The sequence below is a fragment of the Homo sapiens genome, chromosome 3, assembly GCF_000001405.40.
Source record: "Homo sapiens chromosome 3, GRCh38.p14 Primary Assembly".
Taxonomy (NCBI): domain Eukaryota; kingdom Metazoa; phylum Chordata; class Mammalia; order Primates; family Hominidae; genus Homo; species Homo sapiens.
The window spans coordinates 13,048,103-13,072,636 of NC_000003.12; the positions used below are offsets into that span (position 1 = coordinate 13,048,103).

The 24,534-nt window shown below is 54.8% G+C and overlaps 1 protein-coding gene and 1 pseudogene across 12 annotated transcripts in view, besides 4 other annotated features; both read right to left on the reverse strand.

Moving 5' to 3' along the window:
• Positions 1-24,534, reverse strand: part of IQSEC1 (IQ motif and Sec7 domain ArfGEF 1) — a 386,215-nt gene that overhangs the window by 151,060 nt on the left and 210,621 nt on the right. The window lies entirely within an intron of this gene.
• On the reverse strand, positions 4,669-5,073 carry RPL39P17 (ribosomal protein L39 pseudogene 17; annotated as a pseudogene).
• Positions 8,926-9,434: an enhancer, noted in NCBI's record as "H3K4me1 hESC enhancer chr3:13098528-13099036 (GRCh37/hg19 assembly coordinates)". NCBI's record gives its function as "activates a minimal SCP1, AML or CMV promoter by ChIP-STARR-seq in primed H9 embryonic stem cells {active_cell/tissue: H9 hESC(primed)}" and the evidence as "EXISTENCE:reporter gene assay evidence [ECO:0000049][PMID:30033119]".
• Positions 9,435-9,942: an enhancer, noted in NCBI's record as "H3K4me1 hESC enhancer chr3:13099037-13099544 (GRCh37/hg19 assembly coordinates)". NCBI's record gives its function as "activates a minimal SCP1, AML or CMV promoter by ChIP-STARR-seq in primed H9 embryonic stem cells {active_cell/tissue: H9 hESC(primed)}" and the evidence as "EXISTENCE:reporter gene assay evidence [ECO:0000049][PMID:30033119]".
• Positions 21,640-21,719: an enhancer, noted in NCBI's record as "active region_19479". NCBI's record gives its function as "activates an Ori minimal core promoter by ATAC-STARR-seq in GM12878 lymphoblastoid cells {active_cell/tissue: GM12878}" and the evidence as "EXISTENCE:reporter gene assay evidence [ECO:0000049][PMID:35858748]".
• Positions 21,730-21,899: an enhancer, noted in NCBI's record as "active region_19480". NCBI's record gives its function as "activates an Ori minimal core promoter by ATAC-STARR-seq in GM12878 lymphoblastoid cells {active_cell/tissue: GM12878}" and the evidence as "EXISTENCE:reporter gene assay evidence [ECO:0000049][PMID:35858748]".

The window sequence follows — 24,534 nt, forward strand, 5'->3', positions numbered from 1 at the left end:
TCACATCCCACCTCCACCCATGACTAGCCATAGACTTGGTGCCTGTCCCCTCACCTCTCTGTGCCTCAGTTTCCTCATGTGTAAAATGGGAGTAGGAAAAGCAGATCTCTCACAGGGGCAACGAATGCATCTGAAAGGACTGTCTCTTGTCTGCTCTGCCTGGCAGCACACCTCACATTCTGTGTCTTCAGGGCGTGGAGTGATGCTTTCCTGGAGGCTGGGGGGCCCCATCCCCACAACACTGCCTGTACCTGCCCACCTGGGGAGCATCAGCTATGACACAGAACTCATCCCTAGAGACCATGCCCTTGGAATACCCTCTTCTCCAATGCCACCTGCCTTCCGGCATGGGGCACCCACACCCCCCATCGCTGCCTCACACACTTCTCCCCACCTGAGGCCTTAGAAGTCCAGGGCACAGGCCAAGCCTGGGCCTATGTTTGGCCACAGTGGGGTTTGACATTCTGGGCCCAAGCTGGGTGCCTGCCATGGGTCGTCCCAGCTTTAGCCTCCGTTTCCCTACTTGCTCTCATACAAGAGCCCTGCTGGACACACCCCTGGAAGGAGGCTGACCTTCCTTCCCGTGTCCCATGCTGGCCTGTGATTCCGCTACTTCCTGTCTAGCTGCCATTGTGGCCGCTGGTAGATCCTATGTTCAGCAGATTCGAATCCCCAATGCCAGGCCCTGCTCCACACGCCATCCCTTAGGGACTCCCATCCACAGCACAATGCCTCCTTCTTCTCCAGCCCCAGCAGAAGAGGCCCCAGGTGGCACCCCTCTCCCCTTGAGCCAGAACCCACCCAGGGCCACACTCTGTTGGCTCAGCAGCTCTACCTGTGTGGCAGCCATGCCTTGCCAAAGCTCATGAAGAAAAGAAGACATGAGGGGTGGTGCCAAGACGCTGTGAGCTCACTTCCTGGACTGGTCACAGTCCTGTGCCCAATCTGGGATGGGCAACAGGTTTTATAGGAGGGAGAGCTAGCGGGGTGGCAAGCAGGCCTTCCCTGCCTTCCAGTGCCAGAACCCACACTGGGCATGGTGAGGAATTTTGGCCTTCAGGGAGTCCTGGATCTGGACAAGAGGACCCAGCCCTCCATCCCCCAGCCTGGCCGCTCAGCTGCACACGAGCCACATGAGATGATACCGATACGATGCGACGAAAATACTGCAAAATGGTGCCAGGTTCCTGGGCCCCACAGGCAGAGCCCACTGTTCCCAGGCCCAGGGCTGCCCTGCCACAGCCATAGAGATTCAACTCCCCAGCTCTGATCTCACTCTGGCCACATCATGACAAACTAGCAATATCTTCACCTACTGCAGGGAGCCCACCTCAGGCTGTGTTCTTCCCACACACTTCATCCGACCCTTGCATTAACCTTATGAGGTACATGGAATCATGCTCCCACTTCACAGAGGCTGAAGGTATGGCTCACGGAGACCCCACACACGGAACACCATTCCATTCCCTGCCTCCTTATCCAGACGCAAACTCCTAATCGCCCTTCAAAACCCTGCTCAAATGTCAACCCCTTTCTCTGTCTACCTTGCACCCTCCCTCAGCGGACTCCTTTCTTCCTTCTTCCTTTCCTGTTTCCCTCCTTTCCTTTCTTTCTTCTCCTCTCTCTCACTTTCCTAATAATAGCAAATATTTTTTGAGCAGTTTCTGAGTGGCAGGAGTGTTAACACTTCACAGGTATTAACTCATTGAGCTATGCAACAGAGGTACGGTCACACCCTACATGCTGTGGTACATGGGTCCAAGGAATTGAGCTGTGTGCAATACTCTCTCTCCAACCAGACAGTACGGTCGCTGAAGTCTGCATGTGAAGACGGGAAACTGTCAGGTGGATGCAATGTGCCCTTGCAGGCCTGCTGTGGCCCAGTGCTGAACCCCACAGCAGGCAGTGGCCCCTGCCTGCCCTCTCCACTTCTCCCCACCTGTGTACCTGCACCCCCACCCCCCGCCCCAGAAATCCTCAGTGGCCTGGAACACTCAGCAGTTCCTCCCACCAGCTGCCTCGGTGCCCCACCCCTCCAAGACAGTATAGCTAGGACTGGCTCTGAATGGAGACCCTCCCTCTGTCAACTGCCTTGTTGGGTCCAAGTTGTCTGCAGCCTTGTCCAGCCAAGACTGAGGCCTTGTTCTCCCTGCCGTCCTTTTTCATCACTCAGCACAGCAGTGCACAGGCCAGGAACAGGCCCCAGCAAAAAAGGCCCAGAGTGAGGGTGCACAGGGTCCCCAGAGAGAACCCTCAGCCCAGCAGTCCTGAATTTGGAACCAACCCCAACTTGTGTGTGCCCCGGGGATAGCAATAACAGCGCCCACCTCCCAGAGCTGTTGAGAAATGAGATAGTGCCCATAAAGTAAAAGGGCTTTGCAAACCAGAAAACGCCATTGCATGCATATTTGAGATACATCATTATTATCATTACATAGACTAGTGTATGTTGAGACGTAAGAGCTTAAAGGTTAACACATGAGTTCTAGAGCCAAGAGGGCCAGGGTTCAAATCCCAGCTATGCCACCTACTAGCTGAGTGCCCTTGGGCAAGTTAACTAACCTCTCTGTGCCCCATTTTAGCTTTTTCATCTGTAATGTTTTGGGAAGATTAAACAGGTTAATACATTTAAAAGGCTTAAAACAGTGCCAAGAACAGAGTCGGCATTCCATAAAAGCTAGCTCTGACTAGGACAGGACTCAAAAGATTTGCATGATATTCAATATACCTTATATTGTATTATATTACATATATTAATGTGTGATACCAACAAAATACAAATAAAATATATTATGTTAACATGCACACATATTTTTTAACACATTAACTCTATATTAATAGATATTTGTTATATATATGAATATATGAGTCTCATTTTATGTATGAGGGCACTGGGGCTCAGAGAGGTGCAGCAACGAGCTCAGTGGCACCCAGTTTCCCTGAAGGTTTGCCAGCCCCAAGTCCAGAGTTCTGTCCACCTGCTAGAGCTGCATCGCTTCCCCTGCTTCACCCCCAGGATCTTTGGAGGACCCTGGTCCAGGCTCATGGACACAGAGCTGCCAGTCAGCTAGGCAGGGCTCCAGCCCCTCCTCCATCCTTCACCTCTGGCTCAGAGACAAGCAGCCCATTCCAGCCATGCTGAGTGAGGCCCCTCCTCCTCTGTCCCCAGTCCCACTTCACAGCCTCCTGGGGAGGCTGCTTCCTTTTCCTTTTCAGAACCAACTGGTTGCCCCAGGCCTACACCCTGGCACTGCTTCTAAACAGCACCCGACCATTGAAGCAAAGTTCAAGAGCAGGAAAAAGTGCTGCTCTGTGCTGCACAAAGTCAGGAGAGCAGCCCCAGGGAATGGGCTGTGACTGTGACTGGCAGGGGCAGGGGCAGGGATCTTGGGGTGGGGTCTGTTCTGAGGTCAGGTGCTGGTTACATGAGTGTGTTCAGTTTGTGGCAATTCTACAAGCCATACGCTGATGAATTGTGCACTTTTCTGTACATATATAATAATTCAGTATCAATTTACACGAAGACAAAAACCAAACCGTCTGCCTCACGTTCAGTCTCCAGCACCAGCCTGGAGCAACAGAAGCTCAGGCCTCAGGCTCAGCTGGAACTGGTGGTCATCCCCTTTCTTGCACAGCACTTGCGTGGTCTTGGAAACCTCCCTCCCTGCCTCAGTTTCCCTCTGCTAAATGAGGAAGTGGTCAGTGTTTCTATCCTGGTTGTAGGGTAAACACCCTGGGGTGCTTTTAAGAAATATGGACGCTTGGGCCCTAATGCAGACCAAGTTCCTGCGCCTAGGGCTTAAAAAAAAAAACTGTTTATTTTGAAATAACCATAGATGTACAGAAAGTTCCAAACAAAAGGTACAAGATCCTGTGTGCCCCTCCCCTAGCCTTTTCCAGAGATAATATCTTGCACACCTGCAGTACACCATCAATGCTAGGAAAGCCACAGCCCACTGGGCCTATGGGGACTTCACCAGTTACACATGCCTGTGTGTCCACATGGTTCCCTCTCACCTAGCTGTGTGTGGCCAGCATGATGATACAGCACAGGACCGTCTCCTCACCAGGCTCTCCGGGCACCCTCTGTAGCCCCCTCACCTCTTCCCACCAGCCCTTATCCCTGGCAACTGCCTATCTCTTCTCCATCCCCATCATATTTTCATCTCTCAAGTGCCACACAAATGGAATCATCCAGTGTGCCACTTTTTAAGACCGGCTTTCTGCACTCAGCCCCATGCCCTCTGCATTCAGCCACTCTTCGGCGTGGAGGGTCCGCTCTGCCTCTCTGCTGAGCAGTGCTCCCCGGCGTGGCTGGGACAGTGTATTTAACCATTCATCCGCTGAGGGCATCTGGGCAGTTTCCAGTTTGGGGGCTGTTATGACTAGGACTGCCGCAAGTGTTCTTGGACCGGTGTTTGTGTAGACGCCAGTCTTCATTCTCTGGAAGAAATGCCCAAGAGCCCAGATGGTAGGTCGTATGGTGTGTGTATGATGAGTTTTAAAAGAAACTGCCAAACTGTTTTTCAGCATGGCTGTGCCATCTCACACTCCCACCAGCAACGGGTGAGTGATCCAGTTTCCCCACAGCCCTCCTGGCATTTCACGTTGTCCCTTTCTATGTTAGCCATTCAGACAGACGTACGTGGTGCCATGTCTGTTTTTTTTTTTAAATGAAAGGTCTCACATATTTATTACTGAACCCAGCCAACCAACGCGTTCATAACATATTCAGAGAGAAAAATATATTCCCAATAAAACATGTCCAACTCTCCAGATAGTGGTGACATTTTCTGCTTGATACGGCAACATGATTGTGACCTTGAGACAGCATCAATATGTGTGCCATCTCATGTGCAATTCTTTATAGACCCAGCTTGGTTCTTCTCCAATGTCTCCTTTTGGAGTTGTGCCTGATTTTATTACCAGTTTTCATCCGAATCCACGGGGGAATGGGACGATTTTGCTTTATTTTCTTGGCCAGGAATCGCTTACTCCTGAAAGTCTTGTGAGAAGACATGGCGAGAAGCGGACTCAAGCACACACCACGATGATGGAGAAAGGAAGAGAGGGGACTGGCTGTGGTTTTAACCTTGTTTCCCTGTTGGGGATGCTGCGACCCATCCTTCCATGAGCTTCTCTGCCACCTGCACGTCATCCTTGCTGGAGCATCTATGTGTACCTTCTGCTTCAGAAGCTCCCAAACCTAATGCAGAACCAGTGAATCCCCTCGAGCCTTCCAAGCTTAGACAGTTCTGTCCGTTTTAAAAGAACCCATTCGCTGCTGTAAGAATTATTCCAGAACACCCTGTGCTTTCTGGAAGGAACACCTGGATCCAGGCCTCAGGGCGGGGTCTAGGTGGCCAAAGGCAGCTCTGAGCTGTCTCAGCCAGACGATGACCTTGTGTGTTCCTGAGACGGAATGGGAGGAAAAGGGAAGGAATGCAGGGACCACGGGGAGAAGGGAGACTCTGGGAGTCGGCTCACAGCCCCAGCAGCTGCCATGACTAGGCTCACCAGCGGCAACACACTCCTACCAGCGAGTGGGCTGGGTCTGTGGTTTGGGGTGAGGGCATGACCCAGGAGGGGCCTGAGGCAGGGACGCCTCAGACTGCTACAGACCCTGGAAGGGGTTGTGTGAGTAATTTGCCTCAGTTTCCAAAGGGGTGGGGAGGCCACAGACCTCTCTGTTCCACTGTCCCCCTCCCTCTTATTAAATAAGTCACATATATTCACTGTACTAACTTTAGAAAATAACAGTGAAACACAACAAGGAAAATAAAATTATCCACCATTCCAACTCCCTGGGGATACCCCAGTGTTAATATTTGAGGAGACTTTCTGGCTGTGCCTGTGCCTGGGTGTAGATGTGTTTTAGTTACACAAAAATACGCTCCACTCTGCGAAACACTTTCCCCCACTTCGCACCGTCTCTCGAGTGTGTTTCTCGGTCTGGAAGCATTCCTCCCCTCGCCCCATGGAAAGCTGGTGGAGCCTGGCAGGCGTTCCCCTGCCCACGGTGGGTGTTGAGCTTGGCTGTCTCTCTCGTTGGCCCTGGTAAACAAGGCAGTGGCTTCAATAGGGTTTCTATGCACAGCCACAGTCTCTCCTTTAGGACCAATTCCCGGCATGGCTGGGGCACAGGAGGGATGTTTTTTGGGCTATGGGTACACCCGGATGTCCACCCAGAGATGGGACCAACAACACACTCCTACCAGCAGTTGACTGTGAGTGTTGGACCATTCTTAGGGCTCCAGAAGTTTCTCTGTTTGGGGCAGAAGCGAGGGCAAGGGAGGAAGCAGTGGGCACCCTTCTACCCTGTCCCCCACACGCCAGGCCCTGGCCCTGCAGTTTACGTGTCAGCCATTGGTGTCCACAGCCGAGCTATGAACTGTGTCACAGATGAAGTGAACAAGAGCACGCTGGGTCTGCATTCCTGGCCTCCCTCCACCCCGTCACGTTGCCAGCAAGAAGGGAGCCTAACAGCGATGCCAGGTCCCCCAGGCTTACTGTGCCCCTTGAGCTCAGGGACGGGATGCAGTCAGCCCTCCTCCCTGGGCCTCCTGAGGCTGAGGCGCAGAGAAGTGAAGAGGTGGCCTCTGGACTTGAGCCCAGGAAAGCCACCGTGTCACCTTGTGGTCTCATTCCATGATCCCCGAGGGGGGAGGCTGTTTGCCAGTGTCACACGGTGGGACCCCAGGAGCCACGGCAGGGCACTCGGGTCAGACGGACCCTGTTGGGCCTCAGAAGCCACATGACCCCGCCTGAGCCTCAGTTTCCTCATTTGTAAAACGGGGCTGATCAGAGGTTACAGCGAGGCTCCCAGAAGCTGACGGCTGGAGGCACCTCATAAACTGGCCTGAGGGGCTGCTACACTGGCTGACGCCCGCCTGTCCTGCCCAGGCCTCCCAAGCCCTCAGAAGGCCACAGAAGGCTCCTGTCCACCCACCGCCGGCCTTCCTGTCCTGGCTCTGGGCCACAGACCGCCCTGCCTGCGGGCTTGGGGCCCCACCACTGGGCACAGTGCGGCGATTGTCCCGGGGTTGGCCTGCACACCCCTCCATCCTGCCAAACTGCCCTGCCCAGGAGCTCAGCCCGCCTGTGTCTGGAACACTCCCTCCTCTGGGGGCAGATGGGGGTCTCAGTGAGGTCTTCCTGGACAGAGAGCCCAGGGTAGCGAGGCGGAAGCCCTGGGGTGAGACTTGTCTGGGCCTCAGTTTCCCCATCAGTGTCATGAGGAGTTGGTCTAGAGAAGTGGTTATTAACTCTGGCAGGGGGAGTCTCAGGCCACTTTGAAATGATGCTTCATCCAATCTAGTCTCCATGCAGCCCCCAATTCCAGGTCTAAGAGCTTAGCACTAATTCATTTCACGCTCAACCACCCTGTGACAGGAGATATTCTCCTCCCCACTTTACAGATGTGAAAACGGAGGCACCTAGCCATGATCAGAGGCATAACTCAAAGAGTGAATCAGACAGATGCCTTCACCACCCGTGTAGAGCAGGGGCACAGGCAAAATACACAAACAAGGTAACCTCAAGTGATCCAGAAAGTAATACCAGGAGATAGTGGATGGGTAGAGTGGCGAAGCAGGGGGCTGCCCCCACTAACCCGGTCCAGAGCTGCCTCAAGGAAGAGGCGATCACTGGGCCAAGGTCACAGAGGGAGTACATGCTGTGCAAGGGGCCAGCAAGGACAAAACTTGCAGAGTGACCTCGGAACATCCTGGCGGAGGGGCCCTGGGGTGCAGGGTCCAGGCCCGGGGTGGGGCAGGCCAGGCATCTACTGCAGGAGTGAAGGCCTGGCTTGCATAGAGAGGCCCACCTGGCCCACCACACCTGCCAAGTAGCACCACCGAGATGTCCCCCCCACCACCATTCCAGCTTCTTCTGTGACCCCCAAAGGCTCCACCAAGGACTCTCTTCTTAAGACAGCAGCACGAGTCATGAGTGTCTCGGGTCAGGCCATGTCCAACTTCTCCTGGGCTTGCCTGGGTGGGATCAAGGCCTCACCATGTGGCCCGGAGCCTGACCAAGCCTGTGTGTCGGTGTCCTGTGGTCCTGAGTCCAGGACTGCTGCCAAGTCCTGTTCATTCTAGGCCCAATTCACTGATAGGCAAGAAGTAGAGAGAAGCCTTAGTCCAGTACAGGCTTGGGGGAGGGGTGTACCTGCAATCCTTGGAGTTCAGCCCTCCCAACCTCATGTCCTGGCCCTGAAAGAACCATCTGGCACCACCCCATCTACAGGGCAAATACAGCTTCCAGCAAACCCTCTAGAGTCCACCTGGCCTTTCTGGGGGGTCCTTCCTGGGTTTTCAGCCTCCCCTCCTTCAGATGTCAGACCCTTCAGGTGCTGACAGGATCTCATTTAATCCTCAAGCCGGCCTGGGAAGCTTAGGTTTCTTATTCCCATTTTACATATGAGGAAACTAAGGCTCAGAAAGGTGGAGACCTCCCCAAGCCTCCTCAGCAGATACACGTATCCACTCAGCTCCTGACCTGAGCCTGTGGGCTCTGTCCCCTGCTCCCTGCTGTAACGTCCCGCACCACCCATAGTCAGCTCAGGCGGCTGATCTCCAACCAGGAAGAACATTCTGAGCCCTCCCAACCTCAGGATGGAGGATTTGCTGAGGCGAGTTTTCCCTGAGGGTGTCCTTCCACTGGAAGTCCTTAGGATATTCAGAAAGCAACCCAATTCACCTAGCAACTTACATATTTTAAAAATTTCATTTTAAAATCGCTAATGTATACTCATGGTTCAAAACTAAAATACAGAAGTTGTCAAGCAGAAGGTCTCCCTCCTAAATGTTCCATATCCACCAGGCTCCCAGGCACACAATGCATACCTGTAACGCATACATGTTCCCCTTGTCTCTTATTCCTTACACAGAGCCCCATCTTTTGGGCCCCCTTATAGGATTTCTTTATGTGAACATAAGCGGACACATATGCACACAGAGACGGGCGGTATCTATGTGCCTGCAATGCATACACGTTCCCCTGGTCTCTAGTTCCTTACACAGAGGCCTTATCCTGACTGCAATGTGCTCCTGCCTTCCCCAAGCACCACACTCTTGAACTCACTCTCTGGCCATTCGGTCTCAGGCACAGCTCCCCGTGTGGACTGAAGACACAGCCAGGGGATGGAGGTGGCCTCTGCTTCACAGCTGCCCTCCCAGACCTGAGCCCCTGACCTAAAACAGTGGTGGGGGACACAGCGTATACCTGCTGGGTGCAGTGGAGGCCCCAGGCCAATCTTGGCCCTGTAGACTTTTCCATGCCCAATGGAGGGTCTACAGGACAGCCCCTCAACCCACAACACACACTCAGAACCATGCTGCCCTCACACGGCCAGACAAGCACACACACAAGACACACCCTTAGCACCATACACATGCAGACACTACATGCACAACATGTGCAAGCAGGCACATGCACACGGGCTCTTCCAGTGAGTGGCGGGGAACACCCCACTGTCCCCAGCCCTGGTCTTAGGTGGCCGAGCACAGACAGGAGAAGCACCTGGCACAGGGTCACACAATGAGCAAGGATTAGGCTAGGATGGGGCCCCAGACATCCCGCCTGCCAGCCTGGGGGCCCTACCACTGGGCACAGTGAGATGATTGTCCCAGAGCTGGCCTCCAATGCTCCTCCATCCTGCCAAACTGCCCTGCCCAGGAGCTCAGCCTGCCTGAGTCTGGAAAACTCCCTGCTGTTTTAGGGCTCTCCTTACCCACTCCCCCACCCCATGCCTGCACTCAGCAACTACATGAAAGGAAAATCTGCCCCCAGGCTCCCTGCAGCTCAGGGCCAGGAACCCAGACAGCAGGTGACAAAACAGCTCAGGCTTAACTCACACATCCTTCTCATTAAGAAAAAACATTTTCAGGCCTGGCACAGTGGCTCACACCTATAATCCCCATACTTTGGGAGGCCAAGGCAGGCAGATCACTTGAGGTCAGGAGTTCAAGACCAGCCTGGCCAACATGGTGAAACCCTGTCTCAACTAAAAATACAAAAAACAGCCGGGCGTGGTGGCAGGTGCCTGTAATCCCAGCAACTCAGGAGGCTGAGGTATGAGAATTGCTTGAACCTGGTGGGCGGAGGTTGCAGTGAGCCGAGATGGCGCCACTGCACTCCAGCCTGGGCGACAGAGGGAGACTCTGTCTCAAAAAAAAGAAAAGGAAAAAATAATTTTCAAACCCCTGTGGGCCAGACACTGGGCTGGGCACTTCCATACAAACCCCACAGGGGCATGAAGGTTAGGAGAGGCCAATAAAGGCTAGGGCCATGATGTGCTGAGTGCCACTGTGTGCCTGGTATATGACCTCTGTCCTTCCAAACATCCTTGGGGGCAGGGGTTGTTATCTTTCCCACCTCACACAGGAGCAAGCTGGGGTTCAGAGAGGTAAAGGAGTTGTCTGAAGTCACACAGCAGGTGAGGGCTGTCTTTGTGGCCAGTCAGCACCATCCAGGGGAGGACCTGGAGGGCAGCTGCAGGGGACCTGAAGCCTTAGTGGGGCCCTGGAAGGAGAACCCACCCCCAGCCTGTGGGTACAAGGGTGTGCTGGTTTCTGGATAAACAGAGAGCCCAACCTGCCTCCCATCCCTCGCCATGCATGAGAGGAAGGAGCTGGAAAGCTCGGTCTGAGTGTGGGGGCTTCTATTTTAGGGGCGCAAGATGCTGTCACGACACACAGTGTTCCCCATGCATCTGTCTCCACTTGGGACACAGAGCATTTTCCTGGCAGAGAGCTGCAGCAGGGCGGCAGGCCTTGGGTGCCCTCGGCCCACGGGGTGCCTGGTAGCTTTGGCCAGCGGCGGACAGCGCTGCCCTCAGCCAGGTGGGTGGGCTGAGCTCTGGGTGCAGGAGGTGGATGGGGGGGTAGTGCCCTCACCAGGGCATGAGAGTGGGGATGGTGCCAGCCTCTGACACATCCTCTCCTGCGGTAGCCATCTCTTCCTGGGCTCCCTCCACCCTTTGGTGACACCAAGGTCACTGTCCTGAGTCTGACCTCCTTCCACCCCCGACCTCCAGACACAAGGAGCTCAATGCTCCCAGGCTCCTCCCTGGGTGTCCCATAGGGCTCTCCTTACACCAGCAGGCCCCACCCCAGGGGCCCATCTCGGCAATGGCGCTGCCACCCATCAGACCCCCAGGCCAGACCCCTAGGCACTATGGTCTACTATGCCTTTGATGCCCTGTTCTCCCCTGTTCCCTCCCAGTCTTGGGCTGAGTCTCTGTGGGCACCCTGGGCACCTCTGCTCCAGCAGCTGCCTCGGCCTCCCCATCAGACCACCTCCGGCTTTTCCTATCACCCCCTGACCACACAGCACAGGCCTGGCACGGGGTGCCCTCTGGGTGATGTGAGAGAGGCAGCATGGGGGCTCATGCCTGGAATCCCAGCACTTCAGGAGGCTGAGGCAGGAGGAACCCTAGGAGTTCAAGACCAGCCCGGACAACATGGCAAAATCCAGTCTCTACAAAAAAATAAAAAAAATTAGCCAGTGTGGTGGTGGGTGCCTGTAGTCCAACTACTTGGGAGGCTGAGGTGGGAGGATCACCCGAGCCCAGGAGTTCAAGGCTCCAGTGAGCTGAGATTGGGCCACTACACTCCAGCCTGGGTGACAGAGCAAGACCCTATCTCTAAAAAATGAAAGAAGGAAGGAAGGAGGGAAGGAAAAGAGAAACAACAGACTTCAGGCTAAAGGAGACAGTGTGGGTCTCTGGTCACTCTGTTGGTCCAGGGATGACTTTGGAGCAGCGGTGAACTCGACAGGCATGGCCTGCCCTCAGAGGCCACAGTCTGATGAGAGGATTGGGTATGCTCAGGGTTGCTGTGGGGTGCTACATGCTGGATTGGTGACGTGCTCAGCACTGGCCTCAAAAGGGATGAGGCGCCGGCTTGGGGATGGCATCCAGGCAGCGGGAACGACTGTGCTGAGTGCCACTACGATGTGCTGAGTGCCACTGTGTGCCCGGTATATGACCTCTGTCCTTCCAAACATCCTTGGGGGCAGGGGTTGTTGTCTCTCCCACCTCGCAGAGGAACAAGCTGGGGCTCAGAGAGGTAAAGGGGTTGTCTGCAGTCACATAGCAGGTAAGGGCCATCTTTGTGGCCAGTCAGCACCATGGGAGAGTAAGGCGGGGAGGTGGAAATGGTCTGTGCATGTTGGGATGCAAAGAGGAGGCAGATGTGGCTGAAAGGAAGGGAGTGACGGTGGGAGTAGGAAGGCTGAAGAGGGCAGGCAATGGCTGAGTCCTGCAGTGAACAGGCTCCTGCGGTGGGGCCCGGGACCTTACGGCTGGATCCGGGTTTGAAGTCAGCGGAGGCAGATGCAGTTGTAGGAAGAGGGGTGACCAGCTCCTGCAGTCTCAGGGCCTGACTCCATGCCCTGGCTTTCCACCGATGGGCGGGGTAGCCCTGGAAAAAGTCCCCTCCCTCTCTGGACTCATGCTGTCTGGACCTGGGCTTCCTGCAAGGGGGCCACCTGCCCAAGGCTGGATGACGGGCCTAGGGCACATCTAAGGAACAAGGACAGGACAGAGGCAAAGCCACAGCTGCTGGGGCAGGGTGGGGGCCGGTATGTCTGGCCAGCAGCATCAGCCCTGCCCCCGGCGGGGCTCCAGGACCGGGAGACTCATCAGCCGGAAGCTCTTGGAGGAGGCGGCTGCCGTGAAGACAGGCACCCTTGCTCCTGAGAGGGGCACCCAGAGAACCAAGACTCAGCAGAGGGAACACAGGGCTACGCCCAGGCCCCAGGCCTGATATCCAGAGTCTAAATCCCACCTCAGCCCAGGGGGGAGCCTTGAGAGGAGCTATGTCCCTCATGGACCCCAGTTTCCTCTGCATACGGGCTCCGAGCCCTGCACTGCCTCCAGGGTAGTTCCCAAGGTCTTTTCCCATTACCTCCTACGTGAGCACTCAGTAAACCAATACACATACACAAGGGTGACATTAATTCCAGCCACAGAATCCCAGGCCACGCGTGGCCTGGCCCTCCCTGAGAAGTTGCTCTTGCTCAGGAACCCCCTGTGCAGTTCCTACCCCTCGGTTCTGGCCCACGAGGCTGGGAATGACCCATATTATAGATGGGGACATGGGGACAGAGCCGGCAGCATGGGCATGACTGCCTCTCTTCATCGTTCCTCCCCAGGGAGGCTCAGAGCAGCCAGGAAGGGTTTCCCCTCCTTGAGATGCTGGTAAAAAGGATTTCAGGTTGATCTGGAATAAATGATGAGTTTTCTCATGTAACATACAATGCCCTAGGCAGTTTTAAAAAATATCTATCACTAGGAAAAGAGGAAAGATAAAATGGTAAGAATAAGTGTTCGTTTATAGGTCCCAGTTGGCAAAGCAAGAGGGGGATGTGCCAGCCCAGTGGTGCAGCTGGATCCTGAACATCAGGGGTCCCAGGACTTACCTAGCACATGCAGTCCCCAGCCCCCACCAAGGTCCACAGAGCCCCTAACATACCGAGCCCATGACTCCAGGCCCTGTGCTGATGCCAGGGGCCAGCCGTCCGGTGGGGGTGCTGGGCTGGCCTCCCTGGTGCCTAAGCCAGGGATCTGGCTGCCCTGGGCCTCTGCACACTACTGAGGCTGCCAGCTCCGTCCAGACTTGCCCCAAACTGCCAGGCTCTCCTCTAACTCCAAGCAAAGCCTGTGGCCTGTTTCTAGACTTGGTTTACCCCCGTCCCAACAAACACACACATTTGAATTCCCCTAATTCCCAGCCCAGTGGTTCGGGGGGCTGACCTCATGCTCCAGCTACAGGTGTGGCCAAGTGACAAAGAGGCTGGCCAGTCAGCACATGGCTCCTCTTGGGGATGGAGATGGTTTCAGGAATGGCCATGAGTCCCAGGGCTGACCAGGGGGACTGAGGCTGCTGAGGGGGCTGAAGCCTCCACACAGGAACGTGTCCTGGGGAAAGGTGAACAGGACATGGCCACAGGAGCATTGGAGCCCCTGGAGCCAGCCACACTGAAGCCAGATCGTGGGCTATTCACTGACAGTAATCACGGAAATCCCTTTGACTTGAGTTTCTGCCGTTTGCCACCCAAAGGCTCCTGATGGATACACCATTACAGCCCAGCTTCCCTTCCCTTCCCTTCCCTTCCCAGATGTTCACATTTCTTAAGTCCTAGCACGTCCTGAAGCCCAGCCCTGTGCCGTGAGAATCCAGGGGAGGAAGGGGACAGGAATAATCTCTATAGGTCACAGAGATACCACAGGCCTTATTACCTCATTCTGTCCTGATGGCCACCCTGCAAAGCTGGAATTATTAGCCTCATTTTACAGAAAAGGAAATAGGTTCAGAGAGGTTGTCTTCTGCCCCAAGTCACACAGACACTGGGCAGCACATAAGGAGTTCCATCTGAGCAGCTCCTTGGAGAGGGGTGGGGTCCTGGCAGGGGAGGCACAGAGAAAGGTCTTGATTACCCCCAGATCTTGGACCCCACATCTGCTGAGCTCACCTGGTCTTGGAGAGCTCCTCTGAGGTGGCCTGACCTCTCTGCAGCCCAGAGATGGCCAGGGGACAGACACCCGAACAAGGAAGGGGGTTGGAGAGACTTGAGGGCATTTCTCTTTTATCTGATGGTGGAGAGCAAATGGGAGGAAAACGCTCGGTGTTATCGTGGGGCCAATGAGAGCCTTAAGATACAGGCAGTGAATTTCAGCCAGGGCCCTGGTGATTTAAGATGCATCACTTCCCTTAGTAACCATGCCAAGCAGATGTCAGGGACATCTTGATGAGGGATGAAGCCATCGGTGCCAATAAAACATTTTTCTATTAGCCACGCTCAGGTCAGCCGCCTGCTGAGCCACAGGGGTTGCTCTGACAGGACCTTCATCCTTCGGAGGTCGGGCCAGTGTGGCAAGGTCACGCCATGGGATATAAAGGGGGACGGGCATCTCTGGCGCAGCCCCAGCTCCTCAGAGCCCTGATATCCCAAGCTCATGCTCAGGAAATGGGATGCACAGGGGAGGGAGAGCCGGGACTCCTGGGCTGGGCAGTCTAGTGGGCAAAGCCTGGCCCCTCAGAGAGCCGACACCACGCCCAGCCTGGCTTCCCCACTGCCCTGTTCACTGCCCTAGTCCTGCCCACAACCTCACCAGCCATGTCCCAGCTTTCCTTCAACCAGTGACAAGTCAATTCACTGAAAGCTAATTCATAGAACAGTCAATTTGTAGAATGACAAAGTCATAAAAAGTACTTGCTTCCTTCCCTTAACCTTTTAGCTTTAGTTGACTGGTCCATTTTTGTCTTCAAAATGGCATTTGATGGAATGTTATTTGTCTCTGTCCCAGCTGCCCACTGTGGTGGCAGGAGGCACAGACAAGCATGGTGACTGTGTCATCAGGAATGCTGCGGGCACAGGGCAGAGGAGGGCAGGAGTGGCCGTCAGCAGGGCTGTTCTGCAAGCCCAGGGGAGCAGGAAGGCCCACCTGAGAAGAGGCCTGGGCTGGGGCTGGGGCCCCGGTTCTGGGAGGCATTGGGGGACAATGGATAAGACCTCTGCTCCATCAGCCAGCTGAAACCACTGCCTGCTGGCAGAGCAGGGTCTGAAACTCAGAACCCCTGGGGGCCAGCCAGGCCCCAGCTGGCAGCAAAAGGGACTTGTGTTTCCTTTCTGGGGTGAGGGGCCGGCCCCAGTGCCCCTGGTGGGATGCAGCCTTGGAGAGAAGGGCCCAAGGTGTCTCAGGTGTCAGGGAGTGGAGGGCAGTAGAGGTTGGTGACCATGGTGCACCACCAAGGAACTGAGACTGGGAGGTCACTGGCTGTCTGCTGTCCTCAATTACCAGGGATCTCAGCCTGTCAGACCTGATACCCACCCTCACCTTTTAAAAATTAAACTTTTTATTTTGAGATAATCGTAGATTCATTTGCAGTTGTAAAAAAAAAAAAAACAAAAAACAATACAGAGAGATCTTATATACATCGTTTCCCCCAATGGTAACATCTTACAAAACTATAGGATCCATCACTACCAGGATTCTGACACTGCACTGTCCTCCCATCTTAGGTAGCTTTCCGATTTTGCTTGTACCGTGGAGCCTGCATACATGATACGCCTGCATAGAACTAAACACACGCATGCACACACATACAGGCACATACAAGTGCCACCACAGTCAAAATACACAATAGCTCCATTACCACAAAGATCCCTTGTCCAGCACCCCGCTCCTTAAATCCAGAGCTTTGCACTATCCTCTTCTCTCTTCTCAAATGAAGCTGATGACTCATGTGATCCATCCACACACATATTTAAAACAGAACCAAGAGAATGGCTGAATGGTAAAATTACAGAGAAAAAAAAAGAGGAAAATAATTTAGAATAAAATAAACGGTAATTTGTCATGTTAATCGTGGGTGGGCCTACCCTATAGTCACCTGCCTGGTCGTGTGACAGCGACCACAAACCCAGATGGATGCTGGAGTTCACTGGGCACTCTGGCACCATGAGAGATGCTGTCCTTGGTGATGTGGTGCTCTGAATGGTGGCAGCTCTTGGCTGAGCTCCGAACATATCAGAGTCTGATCTTCCCTCGACTGCGAGAGCAGTTGCATTCCTGGAAAACTCAATGCATATTCAAATCATACAAAATGCATTTTGTGGTTTAGATGTCAAGAGGAGTGAGGACCAGACTCGGATAGTTGCTCGCAGATTTTCATGCCCATAAATATCTGTGTGGATTCTTGGTGTGGGGGCCTGTCCTGCACAACCTAGGCTGGCCCTGCTCCCACATGCCCTCTGGCAGCTCTGCCTGAATCTGGGGCCCACTGTCAAAGAGATGCTGATAACTGTGCCCAGGACTGACCTGGACGGAGAGCCAGCTAAGGTGACAATGATGAAGGCTTGACGCATAGGCTTCCTGGAGATGTGTGGGGGTGTTCATCTTGGAATGTTCAGGCCCAGTCCCACCAGCCTCCCTTCTCCTGCCTGGGGAAGACACACAGGGCTTGGCTTCCTTCATGGAGGCCCCACTGCAAGCAGCTGGCCAGGGCTTCCCATGGAAGGAGACCACCACCTCCTGCAGGGGCCGGCTGGTCACACATCCCCCAAGTTGAGCGTTTCATTGGCTCAAATCCAGAAACCACAAAACAGTGGTGGGAAAACTAAACTGCTCTGTGTCACCAGCTTGCTGAGGGAGCACTTCAATGATGAAGCACACATATAAATGCACAGAAATTCACCAAGGACCCAAAGGAACTGGACACAGCCGTGGCCTCTGGGCAGAAGAACAAGAAGCAAGGGAACCAAATAGACAATATGTGCAGCCTTTTTTTGTACCATGTGGATGAATAATCTCTCAGTTATATGACTATATTTGAAAAACAACAAAGACGTAACCATCCCTTTTGTAAGCTAAACTTCATCACTCACACTTTTATTCAAGAGGGGGAAATTTAAAAACACAAGATACCACTTCACACCATTAGGATGGCTATTATTAAAGAAAAACAGAAAGTAATGAGTGATGGCGAAGATGTGGAGAAACCAGGACCTTTGTGCAGTGGTGGAGGGAAGGTAAAGCAGTGCAGCTGCTGTGGAAAACAGTATGGCGGCTCTTCAAAACAGTCAGCATCCAATCACAATCTGACCCAGCAATCCCACTTCTGAGTATACACCCAACAGAAATGGAACCAGGGACTCGGAGAGGTATTTGCACACCCATGTTCACAGCAGCACTATTCACAACAGCCAAAAGGCAGAAACAACCCAGTGTCCATCAATGGGTGAATGGACAAACAAAATGTGGTCCATCCGCACAATGGAACAGTGTTCAGCTTTAAAAAGGAAGTTCTGCCCATTGCCGCAGCAGGGATGAACCTTGAGGACATGAGGCTAAGTGAAGTAAGCCAGTCAGGAAAGGACAAATGCTGTCTGATTCCACTCACATGACATCCCCAGGGCAGTCATATTCACAGGGACAGAGAGCAGAATGGTGGGTGCCAGGGGCTGGGGATGCAAGATGGGAGTCTGCGCTTACAGAGCACAGAGCCCTGTTTGGGAAAGTGAAGTTCTGGAGATGGATGCTGTGTTGGCTGCACGGCACTGTGAATGCACTTACTGCCGCTGAAATGTGTGTAATTAAAAAAGGCAAACATGTGGTCGATCTGCACAACGCAACAGTGTTCAGCTTTAAAAAAGGAAGTTTTCTGTCTATCTTACCACAATTTTAAAAATGGTGATTTGTACCTTGTCAGGCCAGGCCCCTCAGGGATGCTAGAAAGCAAAGGCAGGACTTCCGGGCAGCTGGTGACAACAGAGGGGCCGGCACTGTGTCTGTCACAGCGAGGACTCGCCACGCGCCATGCGGGAGCTCTATGAGGGGGCCCATTTGCCTGGGGGAGTCAGGAAAGAGGCACAGGCTGGGCTGTGAGGTCTGAGGTGAAGGGGAAGAAGGGCACTCCCGGCAGAGGAGCCAGCATGGGCAAGAGTGTGGCAGGGTGAGCCTTCCAGGCAGGGCTGGGCAGGAGTTGGAACGTTGTGGGATCGTGGGAGGCCAGGAGGACCAGGAGAGAGGGCCTCAGGCCCCAGAGCGGCTGAGGAGAGAGGGGTGTGTGCAGGAAGGGGCGCCCACTGCCCCACCCCGTTCTCTTCCCAGCTGTATCCAGGAGCCGCTCTGGCAGGTGCCACCAGGTCTTATTTACTGTGTCCCTTCTCTGGGCGGTAGCTCCATGCAGGCAGGGCGGGCCTGGTCCATTTACAGGCGTAGCCCACAGGCCTGGCGTGTGTCAGGACGTGGACTAGATGTCCAGTGACCATGGTGGGCTGAGTGAATGAATGGGTGAGTGATCGGCAGGATGGGGCCATGTGAATGAGCCAGCATGCCTGGAGCTGCTGTGCCTGGCAGACACCACTCCTCCCACTCCCAGTCCCCTGTGTGTCGCAGCATAACCAGGAACTTTCCAGATGAGGTCAGAGGCCCAGAGAGGGCAAGCAGCCTGCCCAGGGTCACATAGTGAGGCAGGGACAGAGCTGGAGTGGAGCCTCCTTGTCCTGCTCTGTAAGGCCCCAGGTGGGCCAGGGCCTCAGAGACCAAGGGGCAGGATATTTTCATCCACTCTGCCTGCAGGGAGCCTCCTGGGGGTAAGAGTGAGATTTGAGAGAACAGGAGCCATCCAACAGGCTGGAAAGAGCGGGAAGGGCAGACGGGGGCTGTGTCGTCAGTAGGCTTTTGGGGGAAAGCAGCAGGCTCTAAGGTAAGCCTGGGAGCAGCTTAGCCAGCACCCAGGAGCAACGCCTCCTAAGCCCCCACTGGTGGTGACAAAACTGGTCTGGTCCACAGGCATTGGGTGGGGGGCTCCCAGCCACTGTGGGACAAGTACCCTCAGCACCCAGGACAAGCAGGCTGGGGGCAGCCATGCCACAGTGGCAGTGACCAACACATTCCAGGTAGTGCATGCAGTGGGGAAGGGGTGGGGAGGGACAGAGCCTTGCGGCCAAGAGATCTGGAACCTGCTCAGGGTAAGGCGTCAGGTCCCCCAACACCTGGGCCCCCTGACCACCCTCCTTCCCTTCCTCATCCCATCTCTGTGCACTGGGTGCCCACTGGCCCCACCCACAAGGGCACACAGATCTGGCTGGGGAGGAGCAGGGTCTGGAGTCAGGCAGACTCACTGGCTGTGACCCTGAGCAAGGCACTTCCCTGGAAAACAGGATGGCACACAACCACCCTGCCAGAGTTGTGGGATTCAACAAGATAAGGCACTTTTGTTGTTATTCTTAAAGACCAAGTGAGTCAGTGCAAGGAGGCAGGCCAGGGCCCTGAGGAGATGGTGCCAGGTCCTTTAGGGGCACAGGGGGCCTTGGGGGGCTTCAACAAAGGGCCTCCAGGGAGGGACAAGGATGGCGTGACACTTGTTGAGCTTGGGGCCCAGCCTGCTTGCTGGCCCGCAGGCAAACCCTGGAAGGGGAGTATCAGCCCCACCACATAGAGCAGGAGGCTTAGGCCCAGTGCCTGTGCTTGGGGCACTTGGGAAAAGATGCTGACCATGGGCTGACCAAGGCCCAGCAGGGTCCTGCCCCGGGGCTGGGGCCAATCCAGGCCTTACGCTTCCTCTGAGGCCCAGGGAGGATGTGGATGTCGGACCTGTCCTTCACGGATCCTTTGGTGGAAGATGGTGGCAGGTGGGTCAGAGGTAGGTGCTTGCCTAAGCAGACGCTACTTGTTGCCCTGCCTGTCCAGCAACTACCAGAAAAGTCTGTTCCTCTCAGTCTCTAAAATTCACCCCAGACAGGGTCTCTAAGTCCCAACATCATGCCAGGCCATGCCAGCTTTGGGTATACAACGGGGAGCAGGCCTGGGCCCTGGCCTTGCAAAGGGGCAGAGGCAGTGGCCAGGCCTCTGAATTTTCAGGCCCCAGGCTCATGACACCCCCTCATGGTTGGGAGGCCCCAATGCAGTTCCCCAACCTCTTTAACCCCCAGTCTTTTCTTCATATCTTTAGCTTCCAGCATGACGATGTGACTCTTTACTCCAGGGCCTCCATGAACAGCCCCAGCCCCTTTACCTCTCTTCTTGGTCCACTCTGCTCCAGCAACACCATCCTCCCTCTGTGGCCCAATCCTGTCAAGCATGCCCTCACCAGGGCCTCTGCACTTGCTGTCCCCTGCACCCGGGGCCCCCACTCTTCTCCTGGATAGTTCCTCCTAATCATTTAGATTTCTGTTCAAAGGTCACCTCCTCCAGGAAGCCCTCCTCACTTCCTGAGTGGCCACACAGTTCACTCAATCCATTCCCATTGGGCTCTCTATCTTCTTCATTTCTCTGTGTCCTTCTCCCCTGCAGTATCCCCTGAGAGCAGCACCCTCTCAGTGGTTCCCAGCACTGAGCTGGACATACAGCAGGTGCACCATGAACACTAGCTGAAGGCAGGGAAGTGAAGGCCCAGGCCTGGTTATGCGGCCTTGGCTGCATATCCCAGTCTTTCTGAGTTATAACCAGGACCTGCCCAGTGGCTTCCTGGGGCTGTAAAGGGTGGATAGATGCTACAGCATTCTTGGAAAATAGCCCAGTGCTGTGTGGGTCATTCATAATAACCATTTTTAATAGTGATCACTGCATGGCAAGAAAGGCTACCGGTCATCACACGTGCTTGAGTGAAGACTGGGCCTCCGGTTCCCTCCCTGCATCTCTCTCGGTGGGCTGGGGCTGCTCTTCCCTGGCATCCAGCCCAGGCCCACTGTCCAGCAGATGCTGATAACTGTGCCTGCAGAACTGACCCAGCCAAGGTGATAATGGTGAAGGCTCAATGCACAAGTTTCTTGGAGGTGTGTGTGTGTGTGGAATGTTCCAGGCCCAGTCCCACCAGTGTCCCTTCTTCTGTCTAGGGGAGACCCACCAGGGCTTCGCTTCCTTCATGAAGGCCCCACTGCAAGCAGCAGGTCAGGGCATCCCACCAGAGGGAGACCACTGCCTCCTGCGGGGGCCGGCAGGTCATCATGTCCCCCAAACAGAAGGAAGAGAGGGGTCGGGACAGTTCCAGGCAGTGAATGAATGATTGAACAGGCATGGGTAGGCGAGTGCTCCACTGGCCTGGCCAAGCAGCCCACATCTCACACACCACAAACTCCTCACAGCCTCACTTCCTGTGTTCAAGTGACAGGATGTGACATGCCCATGAGGACAGAGGGGCCCCTTGCAGAGATGATGAAAAGGATGCTGTAGTTACAGAATTGAGGGCCATCCTTCATTCAGACACCATTCATGAAGCTGCCAGTACAGCAATGACCTCAGGTGTTAGCAAGTTTGATTCAGGGTCTGATTCTTGGAAGCCTCCTGATGTTCCCCCATTGGGTTAAGAAATCTTCTCCTGCTTTTGTTGTCATCCTTTATCCCATCCAGTGTGCCACCTTCACGATGGACTGAGCCCTGACCGGGACAGAGTCTCGATTCCATAAAGCTCCCTTGGGTGCACACCAGGGGCCCAGAGAGTGGAAGTGGCGAAAATGGAGGCTAGGGAGTGAGGACAGTGGGGTGGGGGTGGGGGCCCGCCGGCAGGGCTCCACTAGGCTGAGGATAGCCTGGCTGTGCCATGCACAGGGCCGCTGGAGCAAGTCTGTCCCGATTTGACATGTGGCATGCTGGGGAAGGGACACCACTGCCAAATGTACGGCAGGAAACAGCTGTGTGACCCCAGTCAAGTTCCTTCCCCTCTCTGAGCCTCAGTTTCCTCTTCTGTAAAACGGGATCGACAGTATCACATTTTACAGCAGTTGGTGAGACCCCATGAGGCAACTAAGCATGAGAACGCTTTGCAATCAAGTTGGGCAGCTCTGATAGTGGCTACAGTGCAACTGTTGGGAAAGTTAAACATCTAGAGATGCTCAACACCCCATCTCCTTTCCACACTGAAAGGCAGGGTAACAATAAGGTCTGAGCAGCAGGTGCTGGGAGAGCCTGGGCCTAGAAGTGGGCCTGCCGCGGGTTCTGGGTGGGGAGTAATGGTGGGCAAACACAGGCTTATCAAGTGCAGCAGGGTAACCTCAGGAAAGGCCTGCTCTTGGTTACAAGATCCTTGCGTACAAACAGAGCCACCCCCTCCAAGTATCTTTGGTATTTCTGGTGCCAATAGGTTTGGTGGCAGAGCGGGGATGGCCTGGGAGTCACAATGCTCAGACTGGGAGCCTGAGAGCTGGAGAAGAGTGAAAAGACCCACAGAAAAGAAAGACAGTGAGCGCTAAGCCCCCTCGGGCCAGCCCCTCTCTTAGGCAGGAAGGCTAGACGAGCTTATTCCAGGAATCAGCAAATCCACCAGAGCCACGTGTTCAAATGCAGGTGGCTGGGCCCCCAACAGATTGAAGCAGACTCTCCAGGGAAGAGTATTGGAATCCATATAGAACATTGTCCCTGCAAAACTGCAATTGGATAGGCTTGGGCAACGCAGCCACAGTGAATAGCTGCATCACGGGAACATCAACCACACCTGGACATTAAAATCATCCGGAAAATGAAAAAGATCCTGAGGCTTGAGCCCTCCCCCAAACCTAGAAACCAGAATGTCTGGGGGTGGGACCCACACAGTTTTTTTTTGTTTTTTTTTTTTTGTTTGTTTCTTTAACTGCTCCTCAAGTGATTCCAGTATAGCTCCTGGGCTACAACCCCCACCCCAGGCTAGTATACTCCAGGGTTCCAGTAGAACTGTGCTGAGCCTCAGTTTCCCCATCTCTAAAATGGGGTTCTTAGTGCCTGCCCAGACAAGGCCTTTGTGAGGATGACATTTCTGAGCATTGGAGGCAAGCAGGCACTGGGCCAAGTAATCTGAATATGAATTGTCACATTTCATCCTCATGACATCTCCCCTCCCCGATGTAACAGCCCTGAGAGTTTAGAATTTCTCTGGCATCAGGCTCCTGGGCCCAGGCAAAGGTGTGGCAGGGAGGAGACAGCTGTCTCAGGAGGACCTATTCCCAGCCACTGGGGTGGAAGTTCCACGCTGGGAAAGGATTTACTATTTGTTTCAGAAAATGCAGCGAGGGCCTTGCCACAGGGAGTGAGAACTTTGGTGTGCTCTGCTCGCATCGACAAACCAACCTGTGAGCTTCTCCACTAAAAAAGCAAGTGAGCATCACAGCGAACCAGAGGCCACCGTCATCCCTCGAACCAGAGGCCACCGCCATCCCCCAAACCAGAGGCCGCCATCCCCCGAACCAGAGGCCACTGCCATTCCCTGAACCAGAGGCCACTGCCATCCCCCAAACCAGAGGCCACTGCCATCCCCCAAACCAGAGGCCACCGCCATCCCCCGAACCAGAGGCCACCGCCATCCCCCGTGGGTTGCCGCCTGGCACTGCTGACGCAGCAGAGGCAGAGGTGTGTTTACTTTCCCTCAGTGGAGGTGACGGGGAGCTGCCACTCTATCAGGGGTTCCACAGGCCCCTGCCATGGTAAGGGGCCTCCATCGATTAGGGAGGCCTTGGGGTAGCCCCCAGAAGGCTCCCCACATACTGCTCCAGGCCTCCTTTTCCTAGCCTTGCGACTGAGCCCAGCTCAAGAGGACTCAGCCATGCTCTCTAACCTCCTAAGGTCTGAGGTCACTGCACAGCCCCAAATGAGTGGGTCCTGGGCAAATAGTTTAGGCAGGTGGAGACCTGACGCTGGGCCTCAACCCCCGCAGCCGAGGGTCCCAGAGGAGGGCAAAGGTTGCTCCTCCTAGAACAGCACAGTGCAGCGCCCAGAGAGCTGTGAGGGAAGCTGGCATTCGAACCCCACTGCCCCCTGGGAAGCCTGGCTAACCGAAGCGCAGGCTTTGGTTTCCATAAATACCCGGGCCCGTGATGTCACCGCCCCGTGCAGACTTTCACAGCCTCTGCTGCTGGCGTGAGGCCCAGCACACAGCCGCTCTGCTGCCAGCCCACAGAACACCTGGGCACACAGCTGGACACTGATGCCTCCGTGCTAGGGACGGTGGGCTGGACCTTCACCTGCCCTTGGAGGACGCAGCATCCTGGCCACTGCCTCAGCCTGCCTGCGACCTTCTATCAGGCATGGCTGAAGGGCTGGCCATGGGCGTGCTG